Source organism: Homo sapiens, chromosome 6 (assembly GCF_000001405.40).
Source record: "Homo sapiens chromosome 6, GRCh38.p14 Primary Assembly".
Taxonomy (NCBI): domain Eukaryota; kingdom Metazoa; phylum Chordata; class Mammalia; order Primates; family Hominidae; genus Homo; species Homo sapiens.
Genome location: NC_000006.12, coordinates 6,909,458 through 6,936,878, shown reverse-complemented (window position 1 = coordinate 6,936,878; position 27,421 = coordinate 6,909,458). Strand labels below are relative to the sequence as shown.

The 27,421-nt window shown below is 46.4% G+C and overlaps 1 annotated feature.

The window, feature by feature from the left end:
- Positions 18,028 to 18,077: an enhancer, noted in NCBI's record as "active region_23932". NCBI's record gives its function as "activates an Ori minimal core promoter by ATAC-STARR-seq in GM12878 lymphoblastoid cells {active_cell/tissue: GM12878}" and the evidence as "EXISTENCE:reporter gene assay evidence [ECO:0000049][PMID:35858748]".

The following is a 27,421-nucleotide window of genomic DNA, read 5'->3' as shown; positions in this document are numbered from 1 at the left end:
ACCCTATCCCCAGGCAGGCTAACTTGTCCTGCCTTTGAGCTTCCAGCTTAGCAGATATTTCTCCTGGCAAGACTGCCACAGCTCCATCCCTGTTGGTCAGAGTTCCTTAGCCAGGCCTGGTAGCTCATGCCAGTAATCCTAGTTACTCTGGAGGCTGAGGCTGGAGGATCACTTGAGGTCAGGAATTTGAGACCAGCCTGGGCAACACAGTGAGACCCCATCTCTTGAAATAAATAATAATAATAGAGTCTCTCTTCATAGTCCCAAGGCATGCTGTTGCCCCATGCAGGCTCCAGGTGGCAAGAAGAAGGTATGGTCTAAAACCATTCAGGAGAACCTCAGAATCTCTTTACAAAGATGGGGGCAGGTTTATGGAAAACCAGCTGGCTAGCACTGGGGAAACCGTGGCCAGCCGAAGCCTGAAGGGGCAAGAAGAAAGAGTCCCTCAAGTGCAGGGAAGCCTCCTGATGGAAGCATTGGTAAGGAGCAGATCCTGTGCCAATCTGCAGCCTGGTAGGGAGGGACTCCTCCTTCTCTCCACCTATTCTCCCTTCTCCTCCTAGAGCCTCCTTCTAGTCAGCCCTAAGGGGAGCCAGAAGGAAAATGAGCCCTTTGATAGAGTTCTTAAAGGCCAGGCAGGGCCTGGGGCTGGAGCAGGATAGAGAGTGTGCCCGGAGGGGCAGAGGGTGTGTCCAGCACCTGCCCAAGTGTGTGGCCCTGCAGGGTGCCAACTTCCACATGCCCACGAAAGATTCCTCAAGTCAGGAACTGTGCTTTATCTCTTTGGGGATATTCCACCAGGAAATAACCTTTTGAAAAGGGGAAAATTAGTAACTTTGCACAATAATATTCATAATACCTCTATTTATAGTGGTGGAGAATTAGAAAGGGCCACAATAGAGAATCTGTCCAGCAAAGCAGCCAGAATGGGTCATTTATGATTTATGATTATGATTCTCAGGTGGACCCTGTCAACACCTGCAAAATGGGGGCATACAATGACAAATGACAAAAGCAAACCTACTGATTATACATATGTCAGTAGGTGTACATGTGTACTATATAGGAAGAGATTCAAGGCATATATGTTCATAAAGAAAAGGGCTAAATGTCAAATCCCATAATTTAAGAGGAAAACAGCAGACTTCTTTTTTTTTTCAGATTTAAGTTTTTTTTGTTTTGAGAGACAGCGTTTCACTATGTTGCCCAGGCTGGTCTTGAACTCCGACCTCAAGTGATCCTCCTGCCTTGGCCTCCCAAAGTGCTGGGATTACAGGTATGAGCCACTGCATGCAGCCCCAATAGAGCAAACTTCTGATATAATGTATCCCCAAATTAGTGCAAAGCGGTTAGAATACTTAGGACTGTGCACAGTATAAAAATGTAGGAAAGACATCTTACTTAAGGAAACTGTACTGGGAAAAGCCACTCGGCTTTTGACAGCTATTACCGCAGCTTCCAATATTTTCATTGGATATGAAGCTCCTTGTCAAATACACTGTCGTAGATGTGAGGTGAATTTATTGCAAAGGGTCTTAAAGTTTCTCAAACTTTCTTTTTTCTTTCTTTTTTTTTTTTTTTTTAGAGACAGGGTCTCGCTCTGTGGTCCAGGCTGGAATGAAGTAGTGCAATCATGGCTCACTGCAGCCTCCACCTCCCAGGCTCAGGTGATCCTCCCACCTCAGCCTCCCAAGTAGCTGTGACTACAGGCATGAACCACAAAGCCTGGCTTATTTTTTAAAGAGATGGGATTTCGCTAAGTTGCCTAGGCCGGTCTCGAACTTCTGGGGTCACGAGATCTGCCCGCCTCAGCCTGCCAAACTGTTGTGATTACAAGTGTGAGCCACTGCACCCAACCAAGTTTCTTAAACATTCACGTGCATGGGTATCTCCTGGGGATCTTGACAAAATGCGGATTCTGATTCTGTAGGTCTGGGTGGGCCTGAGAGTCCCCCTTTCTATCAGGCTCCATGGGATGCCCACACTGTGGGTCCTGACTATAGCCTGAGTAGCCGCGGTCGGTGGAGTTGCTTGTTTGCTTTTTTACCTTTTAAAACATGTATATGAAGTTTGCAGATATAAAATTTATATGTCCTTTGTCATCCACCCTCCCCTTCTCTTCCAGATTCTGGTATGCCTCTGATACAGTGGCTTGTCCTCCTGTTAAGAATCCCAATATATTCTGGGCTTCCTCTCTTATCGGCCAAAAAGAACCAGTCAAATTTTGCTCTTTATTTTTATATACTTTTTTTTTTTGAGACAGGGTCTCTCTCTGTTGCCCAGGCTGGAGTGAAGCAGTGTGATCATAGTTCACTGCAGCCTCGACCTCCTGGGCTCAAGTGAGGCCCCACTGCAGCCTCCTGAGTAGTTGGGACTACAGGTGTGCATCACCACACTCAGCTAATTTTTTAATTTTTTGTGGAGATGGGGTCTTGCTGTGTTGCCCAGGTTGGTCTTGAACTCCTGGGCTCAAGTCATCCTTCCACCTTAGCCTCTCAAAGTATTGGGATTACAGACATGAACTACCACACCCAGCTGAACTGTACTTTTTATAGTTTTATCCCCAAAACAGTACTTCCAGTATCCCTGACATAAATATAACCTTGAGAAGGCTTTTTCAAATTGCATACAATGCCCACCTTTTCCATCCTAGCCACAGTTATTTTTATGATTATCATCTTGTATTTCTCACACTGTTTTCACATGAGAAACTTAAAATTGTCTATGAATCCGTCTAATTTCATGAATTCTTCTGGCAATCCTGTGGAGGAGATGCAAGGCTTTGATAATGTAAAATTCCAAATATTATAGTATCTAGTGACCCAGTGTGATTCACTCAAACAACAGAGGAAACAGGCCCTTATAAAGTTAGCATTTGCTGTTTGTTTCCATGGTTCTCAAAGCTTGAGTCAGGTACCACTTCAGCCTGGAGTTGCTGTAGAATGAGCCCCCAGTAGAAGGAAGCATCACCCATTGAAACAAGGGTGCATCTTTCTTTTTCAGGCTTCATTTGGTTTCCACTGAATACCCTTATTTTGCACATGTCAACAAAGAAAATATTTCTATTATGGGCCGGGCGCGGTGGCTCATGCCTGTAATTCTAGCACTTCAGAAGGCCGAGGTGGGAGGATCACTTGAGTTCAGGAGTTCGAGACCAGCCCAGCCAACGTGGTGAAACCCCATCTCCACTAAAAAAACAAAAATTAACTGGGCTTGGTGGTACACGCCTGTAGTCCCAGCTACTTGGGAGGCTGAGGCAGGAGAATAGTTTAAACCTGGGATGGGGAGGTTGCAGTGAGCCAAGATTGTGCCACTGCACTCCAGCCTGGGCAACGGAGTGAAACTTCATCTCAAAAAAAAAAAGGAAAAGAAAAACGAAAACATTTCCATTATGGTTATAGTCAAGGTGTTTTGTGTTTTATTCTTTTTCTCACTTCCCATTTAAAAATTATCAAGTAATCATGTCAATTAAGTTTCTGTTTGCCTACGTAGCCTTTGTTACTGGTTATACTTTCTAGTTGGGATTTTAAGAATTAATTTCTACATCCAGCAATTTGAGAATAATTTGTGCAACTCTGCCCTATTTTTTTCTTCTCCTTGCTTTATCCCTCTTTGCTGTGTTTTCTTCTCCTAGCTGATGTCGCTGTTGAAGTGTTCTGATGAACAGTTGGAGAGTAATGTGTCGTCCCCACCTCCTTATGAACGCCCATCATCATCGAGGGTGAACGCATCCTAATACCCGAGCAGAGCAGTTGTCCTCTGTGAGCCAGGAGCCCTCGGGGACTGTGGTTCTCTTCACAGCTGCACCCCTGACTTGTTGTGTGAGCTTGGTGTGCCATTTAGCCTGTTTGTGTCTTTTTATCTCTGCTCTGAACTATACATGTCCCCCATCAATCTAGAAAACAATTCCCAAAGAATTATGACATCTTTGTCCTCGCAGACGGTTCATGAGGGTTTAGGAAACACTATGTTAGCAGACGTATTCTCTGGCCCTAGTTCCTTGTGTCGTTGGTACTCACACCGCTCACATGAGTGGGGATTGACTCTCACAGCTCCTGCGTATGTGTGTGTATGGGTGTATTTGTGTGTGTATGTGTGTATGTATGTGTATGTATGTACATGTGTATGTATGTGTATGTGTGCATGTGTGTATGTGCTTGTGTATGTATGTGTATGTGTGTATTGTGTGTGCGTGTATGTGTATGTGTGCATGTATGTGCATGTGTGCATGTGTATTTGTATGTATGTGTATGTGTGCATGTGTGTATGTGCATGTGTGTGTATGTGTGTGCATGTGTGTATGTGCATGTGTGCATGTGTATTTGTGTGTATGTATGTGTATGTGTGCATGTGTGTATGTGCATGTGTGTGTATGTGTGTGCATGTGTATGTGTGCATGTGTGCATGTGTGTATGTGTGTGCATGTGTATGTGTGCATGTGTGCATGTGTATTTGTGTGCATGTGTATTTGTGTGTATGCATGTGTGTGTGTGCATGTGTGTGCGTGCGTGTGTGTGCGTGTGTGTGTATTGTGTGTGTGGGTGTGTATGTGTTTGTGTGTGTGTGTGTGTGTTTACAAACACAGAGAGGCTGAAAATGAAATGCATCCAACAGCAAGTAGACATTTGCTCAAGACCCCTTCTTTGTCATCACACTCCTCTCTGCAAAAATAGAGCCACTGGCCAGTACCCCTATTTAAGACACCCTTATAGTGAATGAACTCTACACTAGCCTCACCTTTTTACCAGAAATATAAGTAACTCATTAATAAATACCCCAGATCTGTTCAATTTTCTTTCTTTTTTTTCACCCTATTACTACAGACACAGTGTTAACAATTTTCTTATTTCTCAAGCACCTACCTGATTCTTTGCCATTCCAAACAATTAAATATTTTTATATCAACATTTGCCTTTCTTGCTCTCTTTTTAAAACTTAATACCCCGAACCCCCTTTAAAACCCTCTGTGCCTTAGTCTTGCCACACAGACGAGAAAAGCGCCAGGTTCAGAGACTGTGCAGGATAGGAACAAAGCTGTCTGCTGAACCATCTGCCTTTTCTTAGCTGTAGAAAAAGAGAGGATTTACAGGTTTAGAAGGAGATTATTTTTCACAGCTTCCAGGCTACCAATATTCTATCCTTGTTTGCAAAATTCCCCCCACAGGTTGAGCAAGTCACTGTGACCTCTACAGAGAAGAAATGCCCCTGAGATGCACTCTCATTTGGAAAGATTCTAAAAAATACAGTTTGGAACTTCCGGGTTTGCCCCAGCCATGTGCAGTCCTGTTTGTGCTTCTCTCCTCCGTGCTAGGAACCTCCACCTTGACTCCCTATTTCTAGCAAACAGAAGGACCGCTGCTGCCTTCCATGAAAGGCATTCTATATCAGAGAGGGGCACGGAGGAAAGGGAATAAAACAAAAGTGAAGTCAATTTGCATTCAGATGTTGGCATTAAGTATTAATAGGGCTTGGGGTGAGGGTAGTTTCTCTTTTATTCATGCTCAGGTTGCCATGGCTGTCTGGGTTTCCAGGGATGGCAGAGGGGGATGGTGAAAAGGAGGAAAGGGCTACTGAGCCTTCGTGGAGCTGTTCAAGGTCAGAGCCTCACCCTGTGCCCTGACACTGTGGCCCAGATGGCTGAGAGCGAGTTCAAGGAACTGAAAGATGCAGAAGTTTCCAGCACAACCAGAGAATATCTGATTGGCTTCTCTTTAACTGATAAAGACCCTTGTGCTTTAAAAACAATACCCTGGCCAGGCATGGTGGCTCATGCCAGTAATCCTAGCACTTTGGGAGGCTGAGGTGGGAGGATCACTTAAGGCCAGGAGTTTGAGACCAGCCTGCGCAACACAGTGAGACCCCCATCTCTAAAAATAATAACTAACAAAAAATAAAAAAAAACAGCAATAACCCAAGCTTAGGCTCAAGAGGGAATATCAGCAGAGAGATAGGAAAGTGAAGAGTGGTACCATGGGATGGCCCAAGTTCAGATACCCTTTGAAGGCAGGGCTGGAGACTGTGTTCGATTGGGAATGGGAGAGGCCCTGTCCTCAGCCTGTGGAGCCACTGGCCCCTGTGCTTTCTTGTTCTAATTCACAGAACCAGGAAAGAGGAGAGGGTGGGATGGGAAGGGCTGGCACCCCTGCTGCATCCACCTCTAGCCTTTGGAAGGCGATCAGGAAGCTGTGCTGATGGTACTGGACGGGCAGCTGCTGACTGAGGAAGCGATGGCTCTGTGCCCAAGGTGGGCTTTGTGACCAGGGGAAGTCCTTTCCAGAGGAAGCCCTTGAAGCCAAGTATCCTATAAGGGGAGGATTCTGTGTCTTCTTTTTCTTACTTTCCTTTTTTGAGAAAGCCTCTAGACTCGTACCACCCGAGTCACTGTTTATTTAGCGCTCTTGCAAGGCTGGCTCTTGTCACCCGTGTCTGAGCCTGTCCCTGCATTAGCCTCTTCCAGGGAAGCCTGGAAATTTCCATCACTCCTCTCTAATGCAACCCTACTCTGCCCCAGCCAGACTGCCCTGGGAATGTGTTAGCTTGACAGCAGAGAGCAGTCGTTCTCATTCTTGACTGCTCACTTGAAGCACCTGGATGGATTTTAAAAGTTCAGATGCCCAGATGATACATGGTGCAGTCAAATCAGAATCTCTAGGGGTGGATCCCAGGCTCGGGAGTTTCTAGAACTCCCCAGGGTGATTCCAATGGCTGCCAAGCTTGAGGGTCAGCATGGGGCTTCTGAGTGCATCCAGATTGCCTGGACTCGATTCTCATCTCTGCCACTGGTACTAGTCTTGGCCCAGTTATTTTCCACGTCTGCCACAGTTTCCTCATCTGTAAAATGCAAATCATAACGGTACCAATAGCATATAGCATTAGTATGAGGATTAAATAAGTTAATATGTGCTACGGGCTTGGAAAGTGGCTGGCACAGTCAGTGCTCTAAGTGTTTGCCGTGTGTGATGCCAGGGAGCACATCTTAAGAGGGACTTGGGCAAGAGGAACAGGCAGGGGACAGAACCTGAGGATGTGTCTCACGAGCAGAAGTGTAAAGACCTGGAGGTGTATTTCTCCTGGAAAGGAGGAGGCTTTGTTGAGATAGGATGGTCATCTTCAGATTCCTATCAGATGGGAAAGAAATGACGCTTGTTCTGCATGACTGTGGAGGAAAGAACAAGGATTCAGTAGCGAAGAGTTTCCAGCAGAGCCATTCATTCACTCTGCAGTGAGATGGACAGTGTCAGGAGGAGTGACTTCCCAGGCTCTGGGATGTTCTAGCAGCATTGCGTCAGTTTTTGGTGGAAAGGTTATAGGAGGAATCGGAATGGAACGGAAGGACTTTCAAGGCCTTTTCTAGCCCATGCCTTGCATGTACTGAGCAGTGCTAAATGTTAGTTGTTATGAAATGCTGTCTTGAAGTGGGCAAGGCCTGGCAGGGGATGGTGGTGGAGGCTATCATTGAGTCTAAAACTGTGTCCAAGAGAGTACTAGGCTGAGCATGGAGGCTCAAGCCTGTAATCCCAGCAATTTGGGAGGCTGAGGTGGGAGGATCGCTTGAGCCCAGGAGTTTGAGATCGCTTGGGCAACACAGTGACAGCCCATCTCTACAAAAAATAAAAAAAATTAGCCAGGTTTAGCGGGGAGCAACCGTAGCCCTGGCAACTTGGGGGAGGCTGAGGGTGGAGGATCCCTTGAACTCAGAAGTTGAAGGCTGTAGTGAGCCATGATTGCACCACGGCACTGCAGCCTAGGCAACAGAGGAAGGCCTTGTCTCAAAAAAAAAAAAAAGAAAAAAAGAGAAGACCAAGGTCAAATGAGGTGGAGTCAAACCTGTTCTCAAATTGAGGGGTGAACACGGGGGCTGGGGTTGGAACCTGGCCCGTGCAGGCATTGGAGAGGAGCCAGTTAAGACGCCTGCCTAGGCCGGGCGCGGTGGCTCACGCCTGTAATCCCAGCACTTTGGGAGGCCGAGGCGGGCGGATCAGGAGGTCAGGAGATCGAGACCATCCTGGCTAAAACGGTGAAACCCCATCTCTACTAAAAATACAAAAAATTAGGTGGGCGTGGTGGTGGGCACCTGTAGTCCCAGCTACTCGGGAGGCAGAGGCAGGAGAATGGCGTGAACCTGGGAGGCGGAACTTGCAGTGAGCCAAGATCGCGCCACTGCACTCCAGCCTGGGCGACAGAGCGAGACGCCGCTCAAAAAAAAAAAAAAGACACCTGCCTAGGGGTGAGTATCGGGCTTCTGCTGTGAGGAGGGGTCGAGATACCTACAGGCCCTCTACTGTTAGTTCTGGACACAGGATAGATGGCTGGGCTGGCTTTGTTTAAGGCATAGGGTCAAAGAAGACACTTTCTAAATCTCAAGAGCTCAGCCTTAGTAGGTTTCCACCCAGGACGTCCGTGCGCCATACCGTGCCCTGTGCCTTCTTCACTCCCTCTGGCCTCCCTCTCTGTACAGATTCCTAGCATTTTGCCTACCCTGGGGGAATTCTACCCAGCCTATTTCACTTGACTTTTCCTTTTGGCGTGGGGCAGAGACAGCACTAGTTGTGACACTATGGTATTTCACTAAAAATCAAGCCACATGTCCCTTTTACTAAGTCAGCCCCACTCTCACCCTCTAGTGTTTGCCCAGCACATGTTCAGCCACATCCCTTGTGTGAGCTTGGTGGGTGGCTTCCGCACGGCGCCTGGTCCTCATTCTGCCCCACCCCTGCTACCCTCCTCTGCAGGGCTTCAGGGTTGTGATCCTCGGTCCTACTTCTCCCTGGCTGACCTGACCCCTTCAAGCCCAGTGACCCCCTTCCCTCAGCGTCTCTGCCACTCTGCATAGCCACACCCCGTAGGAGGCTCCACCCTCCGGATGGCCATCTCGGAAATGGCTTTGTAGCCACCACCCCGTCCTTCCATGGGTCCCACTCACTCGTTCCTGCTAAGCCTCTTCTTCGCCTTTATCGCGGCCCCTGGAGCCCCTCCTTGTGTTTGGCACTGTGGACCCGTCCTGGTTGCATCTGTTCCCTCCCTCCCTCCCTTTGTGGTGAAATGATTTGGCAAAGTTCTCAAAAGCACCTCCCTTTTCTTACCCTCTTGACCTTCCCCTGTGTCTCCCTGGGCAATCCTTTCATCTACTCCTGATCCCAAAGTGCTGAATTCCACTGAAGAGATTTGTGCCCCGAAAGTAATTGGACGCCCTGCCCAGTCCTGCTGGGGACGCTCCCAGTGCCTTCAGGCATGGTCCTCTGACTCCGTTTTTAGCTCCCTATCAGATTCCCAGGACAGCTGCTCCAAATCTTTTCCACTCTCCTCCAGCCCTAACTGACCCTGCTCGTTCCCCTCTCCAGAACAGACCTCTTCACTGCATTGGCTAAGCAAACCACCCCTCCCCACTACGGAGATTGCTGACTTTTTTTTTTTTTTAATGGGGATAATTTCTCATTCTCTTTTTCTTTCATTTTGTTTTGGGGGAGAAATGTTCCTTATTCTTTCTAAGGCTAAAGCCCCCACCCTTGCTGCTAACCTTCTCTTTATTTATTTATTTATTTTTATTTTTGAGACAGGGTCTCACTGTCACCCAGGCTGGAGTGAAGTGGTGCAATCATAGCTCTCTGCAGCCTTGACCTCCCAGGCTCAAATGATCCTCCTGCCCCAGCCTCCTGAGTAGCTGGGACTACAGGCGTGAGCCACGGTGCCTGGTCTCTCTTCTTTCTCTGCGATCCTGCTCAGCTGTCACTTCTTCTCATCTTAAACCTCCTTTTCCTCTGAGCCCTGAATCTTGAGACTTTCTCTAGTTTCCTTCATCTTACAAAACAACCAGCAGCAAAGCTCTTATCTTGTTTTCCTCCTGCCTCCCTCCTTTCTCTGTCATCTTCCTCATTTTCTCAACCCCTTACCATCCGAGTTCCCCTGTCCCCATGAACTAGCCACACGGAGCTAATGTCCCTAAACTATGCCTTGCCATCTCCCCCTCCCAGGGAGGCAGCCGGCGAAGTGGAGAAAGTCCTGGCATTGGAGTCAGCCTTGCAGGGGTTCACATCTGGGCTTTGCCCCGTATGCGTTATATACTCCTGACCCTCATTTGATACATTTTTAATCTTTCCGAAGTCCAGTTCCCTCCTCTGAAAAATGGAAGCAGTGATACCTAATTTATTTGGTTGTTGTGAGTATAAATGAATTTATACTTCTAAAGTGTCCAACATACAGTTGGTGTAAAATTTTAAAAAATGATTCCCATTTATCCCTTGCTTTAGCTAATGCTGATTCCTTCATGCGGTATGCCTTTGCCTTCTTCCACGTACCTGTTGGATTTCCACCCGCCTCTCAAGGACTAGGTACTTCCTTCCCTTTTCAGCTGCTGGGCCCAAGTCCTTGAAGTTATTTTTCCCTCTGAACCTTGTTTCTCTATTGCAGCAGGTGCTGTGGTCTGCCTTGTATCAGGATCGTTGGTACATGTTTGTCTGGCCTGCATACAATCAGGAGCCTCTGGGGGCAGCGATATTGAACTCACCTTTGCATCCCTCTAGAGTACCTTTGGAGAGTCTTGCATATAACAGTTCCTCAGTGACAGCTAAATTTAAAAGAATTGCTTGCTGTGAGTATACCTTAATAATTTGAAAAACAATTCTAGCTGATTTGGTTCCCACACATGAATATACTTCCAAATCTTGTAGAGTTTACAATGAAATAGAGATTTACAATGTAAAGGTCTTCTAATGAACACCCTCAGGTCTGGCCAGATTTTGGGAGGTCCTTATGCTGCCTTGTGGACATTATTTGTCTTCAGGTTACTAAGGTCCTGTGTCGGCAAGTAGTTAAGACATTCGCTGCCTGGTGGAATTGATCACATTTCTCGTGTTAAAGGAAATGGCCAGGCTAGCAGATATCTGAGATTCCTTCCAACTTGAACGAACTATGACTCAGTGATCATGTTTAGAGTGTGATGTAATGAAGATACTCATTTGTAAAAGTGACCAAGGATGCTTCTCATGTTTGTCCTGTAATGAAAGTTCAAAAAGAAGGGTTAGGGTTAGGTTAGGGTTTAAGGTTAGGCTTGGGGGCTGTTTTCTCAAGTGCATTAGTTAATTCATTTTTTTCATGCCATCAATACTGAGCACGGACTGTGTGTGCCCAGTTTGGTGTTGGGCACTGGGAACAAGACAAGTCAAGCTCAGTCTCAGCATAACCCAGTTGGCATCTGGCACACTCTTCTTGGGAAATAGAGACAGATGCATGGAGGTGGGCCGTGGGCTGGGCGACTGCCTGGGCTTAGTGGCCAGTGTCAGAGAGGACAGTCTGGAGGGACAGTCTTCAGCAGTAGTAGCACCTGCCCCTCCTGGCAGGACCCTCCACATGGTTACTCGGGTCATGAGTCCCTGGGCTTGTCACATTATCCACAGGCCGGCTGAAATGCCTTCTGCTATACACACCACGCTTCCCTCAATTCATCTTTCAATCTGGAGGATTTACAAAGATTTATACCATTAAGAGCAAGATCTCAACAACATGCCGTATGGGGAAAACCTGTTTTGCTTCTGCCCTTATAGGTATTAGTCTGTAAGCTCTTCTGGGCAGGGACCCATTTTCTGTGTCATGGTTCTCTGTGCAAAGCTTTATTCCTTCTAAGGGCCAGGGTTTCACATGTTTGGGTCTATTCCTCTATCCAGGATTAACATGGAGGAACCATTGACCAATGGTAATTTACATTTTATATTGAGGCACGTGGGTCTGAGTCCTATCTTATATCCCCTAAGAAAACCTAAAGACAGGAGGAGTTGAGGACGCCAGTTTTTCTTAGCGTTGAGCCTGCGTCTTGCTGAGGAGCACCTGGGCTGAGATGCGCTCATCTTCCTCACAGCCTGGAGGCCATGGTTTTTGATTCTCCAGGGGTCTGGAGGCAAGAATGGAGGACAGATGGGAGGGTCAGTGGCCTCTTCTGTGTGTTCCCTGCACCTGGCCACAAATCAGATGGGCATGCGTCATGGGTGAACTGCTGTCAAGGACAGGGAAGTCACAGTACTGCCATCTGGGCTGTGGCAGGAAAGGGATACATGGAATCTTTCCCAGTTCTTGGTGATTTTGCAGGACCTTGTGAATCCCTTTTCTTCTCTCCTACTGGCCATCTCCCTCTATAGTGGACCACCTGTCAGAAACCCATGTGAAGAGACCCAGATTCACCCCCGTGTCCACATAGACAAAGCAGAGGGGAGGGGAAGGTAGAGAATGGGGAAAGGATGGTGGTCCTAATGCTTTCTCTAAGTGGGTCAGGAGCAGGAGAGAGAGGAGGGCAGGTAGAGTGCAAATAATCACAAAATAATTTTTTTATTTTTAGCCAACAAAATGAATCAAACAGCAACTACTATTTGTTGATGACCTATTATGTTTCTAAGTACTTTATTATTATTATTATTTTTGAGATGGAGTCTCGCTCTGCCACCCAGGCTGGAGTGCAGTGGTACAATCTCTGCTCACTGTAACCTCTGCTTCCCAGGTTTAAGTCATTCTCCTGCCTCAGCCTCCCGAGTAGCTGGAATTACAGGCCCACGCCACCACACCTGGCTAATTTTTGTATTTTTAGTAGAGACAGGGTTTTGCCCTGTTGGCCAGTCTCGTCTTGAACTCCTGACCTCAGGTGATCCGCCTGCCTTGGCCTCCCAAAGTGCTGGGATTACAGGTGTGAGCCAACATGCTTGGCCTGTTTCTAGGTACTTTATCTTACAATAGCCATATGGTAGATCCTGTGTCCATTTTACCTATGAGGACACTAAGGCTGAGAGGCTGAGTAACTTATCTTCGCTAGTCACGGAGCTAGTAATAGGCACGTCTCTCTGACTTCAAAGCTCATGTTTCTTCTTGTTCAACTGCCTCTGTGAAGTCTTAATTCAGAAAACTCTTCTGTGAGGTATATCCAGGGTCCATAAACATTTTACGTGAATCTTCTGTGGCTTTTACGATACATCCGTGTGTGTGTGTACATATATACCTATATAGACATGTGAAATGGAATGTAAGGGAGACTTCTGTTGTCTACGACAGGCAGAGCCTTCCTGGGGCTTTTTCCCAGTGGAACCATTGAATTCTTAGGTCCTGAAACTGGATTTGGTCAGTTAAATGTTGACCAAAGGTCTGACTCATGCTAACCAAATTGACTGAAAAAAAAAGTGTCCCTGAGCCCAAATAAGGTTTTTAACCTAATTCTATATGAAAATGTCAATGATCTGTAACCCACCTAATCCGAATTCTCTTTATCCTCAGTGCACTGGTCCAAGCCACCTTCACCTCTGAATTATCACAACAGCCTCCTCGTACTTCCTGCATCTATCTTTGCCACCTCAGCCTCCTTCCCTAATCCAATCCTGAGGTGCACACTTGAAAAACTAATATTTTAGTTAATAAATTCGGAATACCTTTCTAGGTTAGTGAAATTATTTTCCACTGGAAGGAACGTGGCTTAAAAATCAGGGCCAGTCATTTGCCCAAGGCCCTTCCATCTAGTGGGCTGATCTTGCTGTGCTATGCCAGAGACGTGGGCAGGTGGTAGCTTGACGTACAGAGAATTAGAACAAAAGGAACAGTCTCTGCACGCAGTATTTCTGTCTGGCAGTGATGCCCTGATAGATTGTCAGGTATCCTGACTGCTAACTTAGTCTTCTTTGCATATAGTACATCCAATGTTTGCTTAACTAGAAAATGCCGTTCTGGATAACTGAGATTTCATGGTATGCTCTGTTTTGCAATAAGGCCATGGCTACATTCCCAAGAAACCTTGGGTTATGAAAATCTAAATTAAAAAATGATTATTTCTTTTTCATGGCTCCTTAAGTGTCAACTTGATAAAAAAATAATTATTTCAATGGTTAAAAAAGGGAGACACTTTCCCACAAATTATTTGTTTTTTGCAGGCATTGCCATTGTAAAGGTATTTGATATATTTTGTTACTGAAAACTTAAAACTGAATTGTTTAATCAAAATGGGCAAAAACAATCCTAAATATCACAGGAGAAAGCCTATACAGCATACAAGATGGGAAATAAAAATCCATGTATTTACAAATAAGGAAAGTACGTTGTAGCAAACAAAGCTCATGGCCCCCAGTGGAGAGTAGAGAAGCAAGATGGCGCCTGGACCATCGGCCACTTAAACCAAACGTGCCTATGAATGCACTCAGCCTTTTCTCTTCCTTGCACAGTGCCAGTGCCTGTTTGTGATCATGATAAAACCAAGCATGATAGGGTTGTGGTTTCAATATATCCCCTAAAGCTCATGTGTTGGAAACTTGAAGCCCAATGCAGTGATGTTTGTAGATGGGGCCTAATGGGAGGTGTTTGGGTCGTGGAGGCCCCACTCTCATGAATGGATTAATGCCATTTTCTCAGAAGTGGGTTCATTATCCTGGGAGTGGGTTCTTTATTAAAAAAACAAGTCAGGGCTCCCCTACCACCTGCCTTCTGCCATGGGATGACTCAAGAAGGCCTTGCCAGATGTTGGCTTCTCAATCTTGGACTTCCCAGCCTCCAGAATCATGAGCCAATACATTCCTGTTTATTATACATTACCCAGTCTCAGATATTTTGTTATTGCAGCACAAAATGGACTAAGACAATATGTGTAATGCAAATCATGCTCCCATCAGTATCACTTTATTTCTTATTCACATTAAAAAATATGTACCATAGAAGCTATATCTATACATATGGTCATTACTGCTTCTGTGAATCAACCAGAAAATTTTTTAAAAAAAGAACATAGAGAACATGTTTTTGCTCTTTCTAATGTGGCATACCAGTCTTTATGTCAAAGTGTGGCCCCTCAAAGGACAGGCTGCAGGAAAGGATACACAGTGGACATCACTGTGTAACATGATCCTGGGTTCTCAAAGCAGTCTATTCTGTCCAGCGGGGAAGACCACCTTCCATTTGTTAGAACTGAGTGCTTCCCCGAGTGTGCCCCTTTCATTTAGAGGTGCTGCTAAAAGGATGCATTCACATCCACAAGCTGTGTGACGGTTCGTGTCGTATCTGAACGTGAACGACAGGATGGGAGCTTGGGAAGAGTGAAGGGCAAGGGAGAGCGAGAGGAAGACAGGATGATCCAAATCAAATGAAACACATGGGAACAACCTCCTTCCATATCCCCAAACTGCAACACTGGACAGGAAAAATCCAAAATTGTTGTAGGCGCATCCTATCTTTAGGAACAACGAGATAGCGTACACTCAGAAACCCCCAAGAGGAAAAGAAGTGAATTTGTCTCAGAAGAGAATGTTCTAGACAATGTCATAAAATGTGCAAGAGAACATTTACTTTTGACCAAAGCTGAAAGAAGAAATGTGGCCAGTGCACAGGGGTGATAGAGAGTAGGTACCCTTGTCCTAAGGAGTTTTGAGAAAGCTACAGTCTTCTGCTGGCACCTGGGGCTTATCCATTGCCATAGGAACCATTCATCTTATTGCTGAAGTTCTAAGTGATTTGAGATGAAGAATGTTTGCTTGAACACATTTTACCCTGTGGTCATCCTTCCGCATACAACTCTACCCTCAAAGCCGGAGTGCTTCCTGCTGCTGTGGAGCCGGGGTGCTGCAAACTTCTGGGATATTCCACAATTTAATGCCAGTGATTAGGATTTTTGTTAGGAAACTCCGGCAGGCAGATAACTCCAGCAGGTCCGAGACAAGTTGGTGTAAACGTTGGCACGGACTGGCTCACCTGTTGTGTGATTAAGTCATGGGGCTGCCTCTTGTTCTCTTTGGGACAAAGCCAGGCAGCATTTGTTCAAGTGAAAATTAAGGCTCTGTGTGGTGTGTGCCTGTATCAATAGAAACAGGCAAGCAGATTCCGCAGGGGAAAAGACTGAGCAAGTGGGTGGGAGGGACGACCCCGCAGCTGTGTTGAAGGTATCTCAGTCAAGGATGGCTTGGTGGCGAGAAACAAAAACCTACTTAGCTTAAGTGAAGTGGGATTTGTTGTAGGGTGTCAGGGGACCCACGGGGAGCTCAACAGGAGGAAGTGGAGGCTGACATCATGGGAACCTGAAAGCTGTCTGGCAGCTCCTCATGCACTGGCCCAGGCTCTGTCATCTCTAGGGCATGTCTGCCTCATTCCCTTTCTTTGCAGAGTGGGTCTTTACAAGGCCTCTCTCCCATCACAGGGGCCTGCATGTGGACTTGAGGAGGCCGTGGTGCCCAGGAGCGCCCCAACTCAGTATCACCACACAGCTCAGGTACCCAGTACTCCCAACACAGTGGACTCTATTAGGAGTTCTTAAGGCAGGAGTTCATAACCAATGGGAGAGTGGGACCTGGCCATCATGGCTAAATACTGGCATTGGTAGGAGGAATGCAGAGCTCTGATAAGGGCAACAGTAGCACTGGCTGTGAGTTACAGAGAGAATGAGTTGGCGGTATAGCCAGGAGAGGGTTGAAGGGCTGCCAGTTGTATAAAGAGGTTGAGTAATTGAAGGACCTTGTGAGAACAGAGATCAGAAATTTGGAGGTTATTAGGGAACAAGATGGCCCCTGGGGAGAGGTGGATCTTGGAAAGGTTGTGATTTGCTAGGGGAGCAGGTGCTGAGTTAGGCTTGGGTGAGCGCTGGCAGTGGCCAGGCTGGGTATGATGCAGAAACACTCTGATAAGTGTCATTTACATGGGTGGCATAGGGAGAGGCCACTTACTGGCAGAGAACTCGGACTGGAATTGAAAGGGAAGGACGGCCACACCCATCGTCACCACTGAATGGTGGGGGTCAGGGGAGACAAGGCAGGAGGAAGGAGATGTCTTCTCCAAGGAGAGGCAGGAAGCTGAAGAAAGAGGCGGGAGAGGAGGTGTCTGCATGATGGAAAGCTGGCAGAGGTGGCCCCAGTGCATGAGGCAGGGTGAGGAGATGCCGCTGGAAGGAGGCGACGGGGAGGTGGACCGGTGAGGAGGGATGGTTGATAGGGTTAGTACCAGTTGAAATGCCCTGTCTCCCGTAAAGGAGGCAGATAAACCACGTCGCAGAAGCACTGGGTGGAAGTAGGAAAGAGCCACATTAGAGGCAGGGAGGAGTTAACATGGCCTTGGCGGGATATTGCAATTGACTAAGAAAGCAGAGTTAAAGAGGAATGGGTGTGCATGGGCATGCGTGCACACACACACATACATACACACACACACACACACACCCTTGCTTTCTCCAAGGTAAGCTCAGGGATTCTGGAACAAGAGGAATCCTAGGTTTTGTGTCAGAGTGACCCTTACCAGGTGGCTTAGAGCATGCCCAGTCTGAATAAGGTTTGGAATTCTTTGAGGGTCTTGGTGTAACTGGACCCTTGTGGCCTATTACAGTCAAGATCTACACCCCCAGCTGCTTGGAATAAAACAAGTTTCTGATTTGCTTTTTTTCATTTATGCCAAAACATCCTAAACCAAAAAACCAGAAGACACATTATCAATTAAAGTACTAGGGTGTCCAGAGCTGAGACCAAATTGTTCTCCATCATATTTTGCGATATTTACCAACTTGCTTTTGCATGACTCAAGTTTATGTCATCAGATTATTTTGCTTTTAAAGCACTCTACTAAACATATAGCTAACCTTTAAAATTAAATGCATAATTTATACTCATTATAACATATTATGTGGCTTCAGTTACATTGTAATCTTTTGACCACATACTTTAATAGCGCTTGGCTTTTTTGTAAATGCCTAGCAACAATGTATTAGACATTATTGCATCTATTATGTTAACACTCACAATTTGTGTTATTGTAAAGCAGTTTCAAAAAACAGTTGAGCCTACAGTGCACACGAAAGTGATCTGAAAATCTTTTTCAATTTAGACGTAGGACTAAATGTAAAATATAATTCCTGAAGGATCTTAATTACTACAGTCTGTGTGTGTATTTGATAAGACTTGTGGAATCCAATTGTTGTTAAATTTTTATATGATGGACAAGTAGGAATGCTTTGGGGCCCCGTCGCTGTTAATAAAGCTCTGAGTCGCAAATATCACACACTTGTCAGACATGAATGGTCCTTTCTTTCTTAAGCTGCTGTGATGTCATTTTGCCTTATTTGGCTTCTAGCCTGGGTTCTCTTTCCAGTGCAGTCGACAGTGATTAGTCATTTCAGCAGGACTTCCCCATCAACATCTGCTCCACCAGCCAGTTACATGTGAGAAAACGTGGGATGGTGCTTTGAAATTGCAAAGGCTTATTGTGCAGATGGCGGTGAGGAGGAGATCTCGGCTACCCCACATGAAAGACCAGCGCAGTGGAGGATACCTCTCTCCACACCCACACACACGCTCCTGCTCAGCCTGCAGTTGCTCATTCTCTAGAGAATCCTCCCCAGGGAGTTCACACCTGCCTTTGCAAGATGCTTCCATGCACGGATTGGTAAGACATGGTCCTTGCCCTGGAAGAGGCCACTATCTGGGAATACATGTCACTTCCCACGTTTCTGTGCTCACAGCTTCGCCTCCCATCTCTTCCTTTGGAAGGTCCCAGCTACTTTCCAGTGGTCAAAGATTGGTGGCTTCTTTTTGAGCCTTGTCCTGGTTGACTTGTGTGATGGAAAGAGCACTTGAATGGGAGTCAAAATATTTGCTTTAGAATTTTAACTTGGTTTTTCACCCACACTGACCTTTAATTCTTTCAGTCAATGGTTGTTCTTCAACCTGAGCATGGTGGTTGCATTCCTTGGCCTGAGAGCCTTCCTTGGCTTTCCATTGCTTGTGGGGTACATTACCAATTTTATTTTTAGCCTGGCACCCCTTTCCCGTGTTTTCTGCCAGGTTCCCCCAAGCCCATGTGTACTTGGCATTCTCTAAATAATAGTATTTTAGGCCTGGGTTCTTACCGAATCTATACACTTGGTCCATAAGGCCCCTCCTTCCAAATTCTCCCTCTGCTTCTCCCCGCCGCCCCCACTGCTTCCCCCTCATTCTCCAAGGCTCAATTAAAAACTCATATGGTGAAGGCTTCCCCAACCTCCAGGCAAATTGAAGTTTTTATGCTTAATACCCATTTATTCCAACCATATTGCATCTTATAATGTATCATAGCTATTTGCATATTTGTTTATCAGTTTTACTGGATTATGGGCTTCATTATTTCATTTAACCTACTTTCTCATTGTGTCTGGCATTTAATAGGTGCCTAATAAAATTCTATTGATTACAAATGGGTAATTTAACTTCTCCACTTCCCCAGACTGACTACAAGCTTCTGGGGCAGCCAATCTGCTTTTCCTCTGTCTTTTCTCCATAGAACTCAGCTCAGTGACTGTCACATAGTAGATGCTTAATAAATGTTGAAAGTGGTAATGTAAGAAAGTGACTGAATAAAGCAGCAATGCAGTATTTGCTAGACAATATTCCAAGTTGAGGGGTGAAGTGGGAGAAAGATGGTAACAATGTTAATTTTAGGGATGGAGAACCTGCAGGAAAAAGGACATCTTGTGGGCATGACTCTAGGCTGTGTAGTTTGCTACTCATTTCACTTCTGTGGCCACTCCCCCCGGATCTCATCTCAGGTAATGCCAGTGCACTCTGTCGACAAGGCCACGTTCCCCACTGACTCACCTCACAGAAGCCTTTGGGTCTTAGGAGAGCCAAAGATTCTCGCCAACTGAGCACCTCCACCAGGTGGAACGTGGGCAAATGGGAGAATAACCTTAATGATCCTTGTCGCCCCCAGAAGGTCAGGGCTTGTTTATTACCTGAGTCCTAAGGCCCTTGCTGTTTCTGCCCTGCTGGAGATCACAGTGGACCCCAGCTCAGTCCAGCTTCCCACCAGGGCAGCAGGCCCTATGTGACCAACACAGAGTCTTCATTAGAAAGTGTGGGTTTCTATTTTTCAGTTTTTCATTTTTGGAACCCGGCTCACTTGCTCTGTAACATTTAACAGTTTCTGTTGCTGTGTTCCAGGCATTTTGCTAGGGGCTGGCACCCAGTGATGGGTCCAGTGAATGCAGTCCCTGGTCTCAGGGGCTCTCAGGCCAGGAGGGGAGGCTGCAGACGCTCACACATTGGCCCACACTGGACTAGCACGCAGGTGGGGTGCTCTGCAGGGGAGGTGGGACCAAGCACACAGTGCACAAACGAGGGGCCTAGGGAGGCCTGGGAAGTGACTTGGCCCCCAGGGCCTTCTGTCTGGACTGATGACTCAGGGCAGCCAGGCCGGAGAGACAGGGCAGGCCACTGAGAACGAATCAAGTAAGAGGCTAATGGAGGCAACAGTACAGGGAATAGGAAAGAACTTCCAGAGTGTTCTTTTCTCTGCCCACGTGGCAAGGTGAAACTTATGGCTAGGTAGACTTCTACTCTGTTATACCAAGTGCTGCCTGCCTCCTTCTGCTTTCCTTCCTCCCAAAAGTTTAACTCTGTCTCCATTTTCTCTCCATGAGCACAGGCATGTGGAAGTGTGGCATCACACACACACACCCACACCCACACACCCACACCCACACACACCCACACACACACACACACACACACACACACACAGCCGTGGTCTCTACTCCAGCTGTCAGAATGTCTGATTTTTGGGAGGGGTGGACTCACCTTTCCTCTGCCTTATCACCTCCAGCTAGTGAGGTTTTGTTCCTACTGAAACAGTAGAGAACAAAGAGAAAGAGGCTAGGGGAAACTCAGAGCTCCAGCAAACAGAAGGGATGGAGAAAGTTCAGCTGCTTTGTCGTGGTTGTTATGCAACCACTTTGCTAGCCCTTACCTGGAAAAGAAAAAGTGGAATTGTATTTTTGGACTGCTAGAGCTGGTATAAAGAGTGAAACTATCGTAAACGGTAAAATGATAATATCAATTTCCTTATTTTACGGATTTCATAACTCAGGCAGAAGAGGAGTTAAATTGTAATAGTGCAAGGAAGTAGCAGAGCAAAAGTCACTGTCTGTTTCTTGGAACGATTTCTGCCTAACCAGTGATCATTTCTCAAGCCCTCTGAAAGCATGCCAAAAGCTGTCTGCAAAAGTAGCAACGGCCGAGCAGCCAGTACGGGGTGTTCTTGTCTTTGGGTGAAATGCTGAGCAGTTTTTGCAGTTTTCTCTTTAACTGGCTTTTTATTTGCTTTCATTTTAAGCAGTGCCTTCGTGTGGAAAGTGCACTGAACTAAGACTCAGAATATCTGAGTTCTAGTTCTACCCGGCCACAGCAAACTACCTGCCTTCTGGAGGCTGGGATTTCTCACCCATGAAAGCAGAAACAATCCAATTAGAGCTCTTTCATGGTCCATCCTAATTCAGGGGGCCAGGGTTTGGCAAACTACTGCCCACAGGCGGGGCAATCTGGCCACCGCCTGTTTATGTACTGTTCACAAGCTAAGAGTGGTTTTACATTTTTTCAATGTCTAAAAGAATCAAAGGAGAATAGTATTCCATGATACATAAAATGATATGACTTCAAATATCAGGATCTATAAATAAAGTTTTATTAGAACACTGATCTACTCACTCATTTGCATATGGTCTGGGGCTGCTTTCCCAGGGCAATGGCAGAGCTGTGTAGTTGCCATAGAGACCGTATGGCCAGCAGAGTTCACTCTCTACCTGATCCTTTAGAGAAAAGCTGTCCCTGTTGGCCACAGTACAACCTACTATCTTATTTTCTGCATTTATGAAAATAATAAAACCTCATTGAGTTACTGTAAGAATGAAATGAAATAATGGATGTGAAAGAATTGTGACCAAGCTAAAAGCATAAATACTCATCAGATGCACCTCAAATGAATTGAGGTGCATATTTATTATGCACCCAATATGATGCATAGATACCCAGCTACTAGGTGTTGCTAGCTGGAGGAGAAACAAGCCCTTACTAATAATATGCACAAAAACTAATGATATTTTTATTCAGCAGTGTTGAAAACATACAGGATAGGATTGCAGAGGTGGGAAATTATGTGTGCGTCTGGAAGGGAAAATAACAAGAACTTATTTGTCAGATTGGTGTAATTCTAAGTGAATTTTTAAATGTCTCCGTTAAACTACTGTTATAATTCTGTTTAAAAATAAATAAGAGTTTAGTGGGATATGATGGTGCAGGCCTGTAGTCCCAGCTACTCGGGAGGCTCAGGTGTGAGGACCTCTTGAGCCCAGGAGATGGAGGTTGCAGTGAGCAGAGATTGTGCCACTGCACTCCAGCCTGGGCGACAGAGAGAATCCCTGTCTCAAATAAATAAATAAATAAATAAATAAATAAATAAATAAATAGATAAATAAATAAATAAATGCAAAAGGAAAGTACCTGCCCCCCAAACTTGTTTCAATACTAATGTTTTAAAAAGGCTTTTTATTTCCAAAGTGAATGCTGAACTGCAAGGGGTAAGGTCTAATTGTCTGTATATTCCATCCTCAATTGTCTGCAGGCAGCACTGTGTCTCAAACACTTGAAAGATTTATATTGAAATATTAGAAACAAAATACACTTTTAGAAGAATTACAATAGCTGAGATCTATGGTTTTTGTTACAATAATATTGGAATAACCTGTCACCAATTAGACAGCTCATCTTTTACATATGTGTTTAACAAGAAAAGCAAAATTCCCCTTGTTAAAATTAACTTATTCAGAAAGTTGCAGGGGTTGGGGTGGGAGAGTGAACATTTAAAATGGGATTGAGTCAATTTCAGGGTTGGCAAAATGCAGAGGGATTGAATTTTCCCATGAGAGATTCAGAGGTTACATGTGCCAAAGAATAATCTAGAAACAGCAGAGCTTGGGGTTTTGCATCTTGTTCTGATAGTGACTGTCTAGAAAGCTTCCAGATCAACTCAGTTTGTCTCCCTCTGGTATCTTAACTAGTAAAAATGATGTTCTTGGCTGGGTGCAGTGACTCACACCTGTAATCCCAGCACTTTGGGAGGCCAAGGTGGGAGGATTGCTTGAACCCAGGAGTTTGAGGCCATCCTGGGCAACGAGCGAGACCCACGTCTCTACAGGAATAATTTAAAAACACTAGCCAAACGTGGTGGTGCGTGCCTGTGGTCCCAGCTACTTGGGAGTCTGAGGTGGGAGGATTGCTTGAACCCAGGAGTTTTAAGACCAGCCTGGGCAACATAGGGAGACTCTGTCTCTATTTTGTAATTTATAATTTTTAAAAAATAAAACAAAATAAAATAAAAGTGATGTTCTTTCCCCATGAAAGTGATCAGCTGTCGGGTTCACCTGGTGGAGTTTGCTGCAGGGGCAAAGCCTTATTGTGAGCTGTGAATGAATTCATCTGCACAGAAAGCAGGGTTGCCCCTCTTCCTGTCCCAAGGTGCAGGGTGGCTGGGCACCCCAGGGAGCTGGGCTACTGACTCCTGCGTCAGTGAAATGGTTCCTTCTGGTATTAGCTGCGGGACCTCGGGCAAGCCATGGAAACTGCTGAACCTTGACTTCCTCATCTTTGAATGCGGTGGATCTAAGCATGTTGACCGAGAACTATCCATGGAAGAGGGCAGACACCCTGCCTGGCACATAGTACTCTTTCAATACATGGTAGCTATTCTTATTAGCATAGGTGGTGAGGTAGCCAAAAAGCAGGAACAAAACAAATACTTCCTGAGGTTGGTAGGGGTTCAGGCAATTGCCCTTCTGTTTCTTTAAGCCCTGGATCAAGTGGTGAAGGAAGGCTGTCCAGCTCACTGGTTCGTAAGGGCTGAAAATGTCTGGCAGAACTTATTATCAAATTTACATCTTCATAGAGTGCCTTAGGCAGAAGGCAGTTCTTCAGCACTTGATGAGTGACTTTTTTCTCCTTAATATCCATCAAACAGAATAATAAAGTACACACTAGTCATTCGATGTGTCAGGAATGGCCAATAAACAATGACAAAGGATCTTTTACATTCTCACAATAAACACTGCTGTTCCTTCTCACCATCTTCCTTGATAAACACCATCTGGAGTTAGCTTTCCCCAAGAGGCAGCTCGCTGCCATGATGTAGGATGAAGTCGGTGGCCTCCTGAAGATTTATTTCTGCCTTTAAAAAAAATGTAAAGCATGGTAGCTGGTGGGGCTCCGCTCCCTGTTTTGGGGCCCTGGGTTCTAGCACTTCCCTTTCTGACTTGGGAGCCAACTTTAGGCAATGACCTATTTATTTTTCTGTCACTGCTGCTGCCTTTTGCTCTCCATTACAGGAGGGGCCGAACTGGCTGTGGGGAGTTGGGCGTTTTGCATGGGGGGATTTGGGGGCAGTTGCTGGGTGTGAGAGTGGCAAATGGAGGCGATGAGAAAGAGGATTTAAATTGTCAGTTCTGATAATGAATGGACACTCCCTCTTTGGTGTTTTTATGAGAAACAACAGTAGAGAATGAAATATATTTTTGGATGTTGCACTAGTGTTTAATTGAATGCTACATTGGACCATAACGGGGCCACCACTGTAAGCTCCTGCCTCATCCCCAGTGCCTAGAACAGGGCTGGGCACACTGAAGTGCTTAGGGAGGATTTGTTGAATAAATTGCCCTCCTCCTCCTTCCAGGTATGAATCTTATGAACTTAATGCCACAGATCTATAAATCTCCTTTTCAAGGAAGGAGCCAGTTATCAAAACTCTCTTTTGGCTGTTCTCTGCTCTTTCAATCTGTTCAGGCTGCTATACTAAAGCTACCTTAAACTGGGCAGCTTATAAACAACAGAAATCTATTTCTCACAGTTCTAGAGGCTGAGAAGTCCAAGGTCAAGGTGCCGGCAGATGCAGTGTCTGGTGAGCGTCCTATTTCTGTCTCATAAATGCTGTCTTCTCATCGTTTCTTCATGTGGTAGAAGGAGCAAGCATCTCTGTTATAAGGGCCCAAATCCCTTAGGGCAGTGATTGTGCCACTGCACTCCAGCCTGGATGACAGAGTGGGACGCTGTCTCAAAAAGAAAAAAAGAAAAAGAAAAAGAAAGCTAGGAGAGTCAGGCCATTGAGCTGAGCCGCATAGGAAGGTGAGAAGGTTGCCAGGTAGATGATGCAGGAAAAGGAGGGGAAGGGAAGATCGCAATGAGCCCAAGTGAGGACACACAGATATGCGTGGTCTTTTGCAGACACAAACTAGTTTTGTGTGGCTGAGGGATTGTAACATGCAGGCTTCATGAAGGAGAAAGAGGGGAGCAAGAACATGGGAGGAGATATCCTATTCCAAGTCCAGCCTGTTGCAGGTTGGGCTGTCCACACGCTGAGATGAAGTTTACGAGCAATCTAGGCCAATGAAGGGGGAGGAAGCAGGGCTGAACAGACGCAGACTTTGAATCGCACCTGAGACCTCTCAAAGCTTCAGCCAACCTAGTGGTAGGGCTATCCACCTCCTTGCTTTGGGTGTCTCTAATGGCAAGTGGGGAAGTCAGGCCCCACTGGCCCCGACACCAGCTGTCTAGTCTGCTTCAAGTTCTTTTTGGAAGGTCCTGGTTGGGATGGTGGCATCCACTGAGGCTCTCATTAACCCCTCTGTGACAGTGAACATGGATGCTACACCTGGACCAAGACCCAACTGGGGTCAAGAGACTCACATTGTGAAATCTGCAGGCCAACTCAGTATGGCTCTGGCACTGTGCGTGTTGCCTGGAAGTTGTGGGATGCTGTTCATAGCCCAAGGGCAGTGCCCACCCTCCCTCGCACACCCCTCGACTTGGTTGCAAACACATGTTTGAGCTCCGTGCTCCCTTCCCTATTCCCTTATCATTGAATGATTGACAGGCTGCCACATATGACATTTCCGATGGCCCATAGGAGGGCTGTGAGCACCACATGAAGGACACACCGGGACGTAGTCCAGCTCCAGGGTGCATCCACTACAAAGAAAAAGCTTGCCTGAGGGCTGTTTGTTTCGGAAGCTGGGTGAGGATGAAGCATGGCAAGGAGCAAGGGACAGAGTTGTGATTCATTTCTCTTATTATCAGGCCCTGCCAAAGATGCATCCTGTTTTTTTTAACATCCCACTTCCTGGGTCTAGATCCTGGCACAAGCATTTCCTAGCTGTGTGGCTTTGGTCAAGTTACTTGCCTTCTCTGTGCTGCAGTTTCCTCACATTTAAAACAGGAACAGTAATGAACGACAATGATAACTTGGTAGAGCTGTGGAAATCATTAGGAAGGTTAAATGCCTTAAGACTAAAGTGCTTAGAATGAGGTCTAACATGCTAGAAAAGTTAGCTCTTATCATGAATATTTTAAAGCCACACAAAGATACAACCCCGGCCGGGTGCAGTGGCTCACCTGTAATCCCAGCACTTTGGGAGGCCGAAGCAGGTGGATCACTTAAGGTCAGGAGTTTGAGACCAGCCTGGCCAGCATGGTGAAACCCTGTCCCTACTAAAAATACAAAAATTAGCTGGACATCGTGGTGCACGCCTGCAGTCCCAGCTACTCGGGAGGCTGAGGCGGGAGAATCGCTTGAACCCAGGAGGCAGAGGTTGCAGTGAGTCGAGATCATGCCACTGCATTCCAGCCTGGGCAACAGAGTGAGACTCTGTCTCGAAAAAAAAAAAAAAAGATGCATGGAAGGCCTGGGAAGAAAAGGGGATGTGCTGGGAGGAGAGAGATGGGAATGGATGTGATACTTAATTCCTTCCCTTCTTTAAGTTTTTGTGTATGTCACGTGCCCAGTGCTGTGTGAAGATGTGGGATTGCCCAAATATGAAACAGTCTCTGCTCCTGAGGTTTCACAGTTTAGGGGGCAACATACAAGCATCATAAAACATATCAATGCAGTGGCCTATGCACTATATCAGAGGTCTTTAAAGATGGCTATGGGAAGCAACTGCCTGGCCGGGAAGGCTTTGGAGGGGAGGGTGTCACAGGGTGAGGAGGAGTTCAGTGGTGGGGAGAGAGGAGGACATCTCGGATGAAGGATGGAGAGGGGAAGAAGGAGAGAAGGTGTGGAAGAGCTTGGGCTGCTCAGCCGAGGGAGAAGTTGCCTGTAGTGGAGCAGAGAGAGGTGAAGGTGATGGTTCCACAGGGCAACTGGCACCAGGCTGCCCGGAGTCCTGAAATGCCAAGCTGGGAGTTGGGACTTCATTCTAACAGCAAAGGGCAAAGGGCAAAGGACAGGGGCGAGATGTGATCCGATTCTGCATCTGGGAAGACTTCTCTGACTTCACGGCAACGCGGAGAATGTGTCGGAACGGGGAAGAAAATGGGGCTGGTGAGCAAATGTTCATGAGGCTCCTTCGCTGTCGGGGTGTGGGGTTCCTTTCCCTTCCTGGTTAGATCCTCGTTACTCAAAGCGAGGTCTGTGGAGTGGCAGGGCTCGCCAGAGCCAGCACCACCTGGGACCCGGCAGAGATGCAGCGTCCTAGGCCCCCTCCAGACCTGCCTTTCAACAAGATCCCCAGAGCACTCTAAGCGACTGGATCACATTGCACATTTAGGTTCTGAGTGTTTGGCCCTCACTCTGCGGCTGGAAGGTGGAGTTGAAGGAGAAAGGAGAGCACAGGGCTTTGGGGCCGACGGTTGCTGGGTCCCTG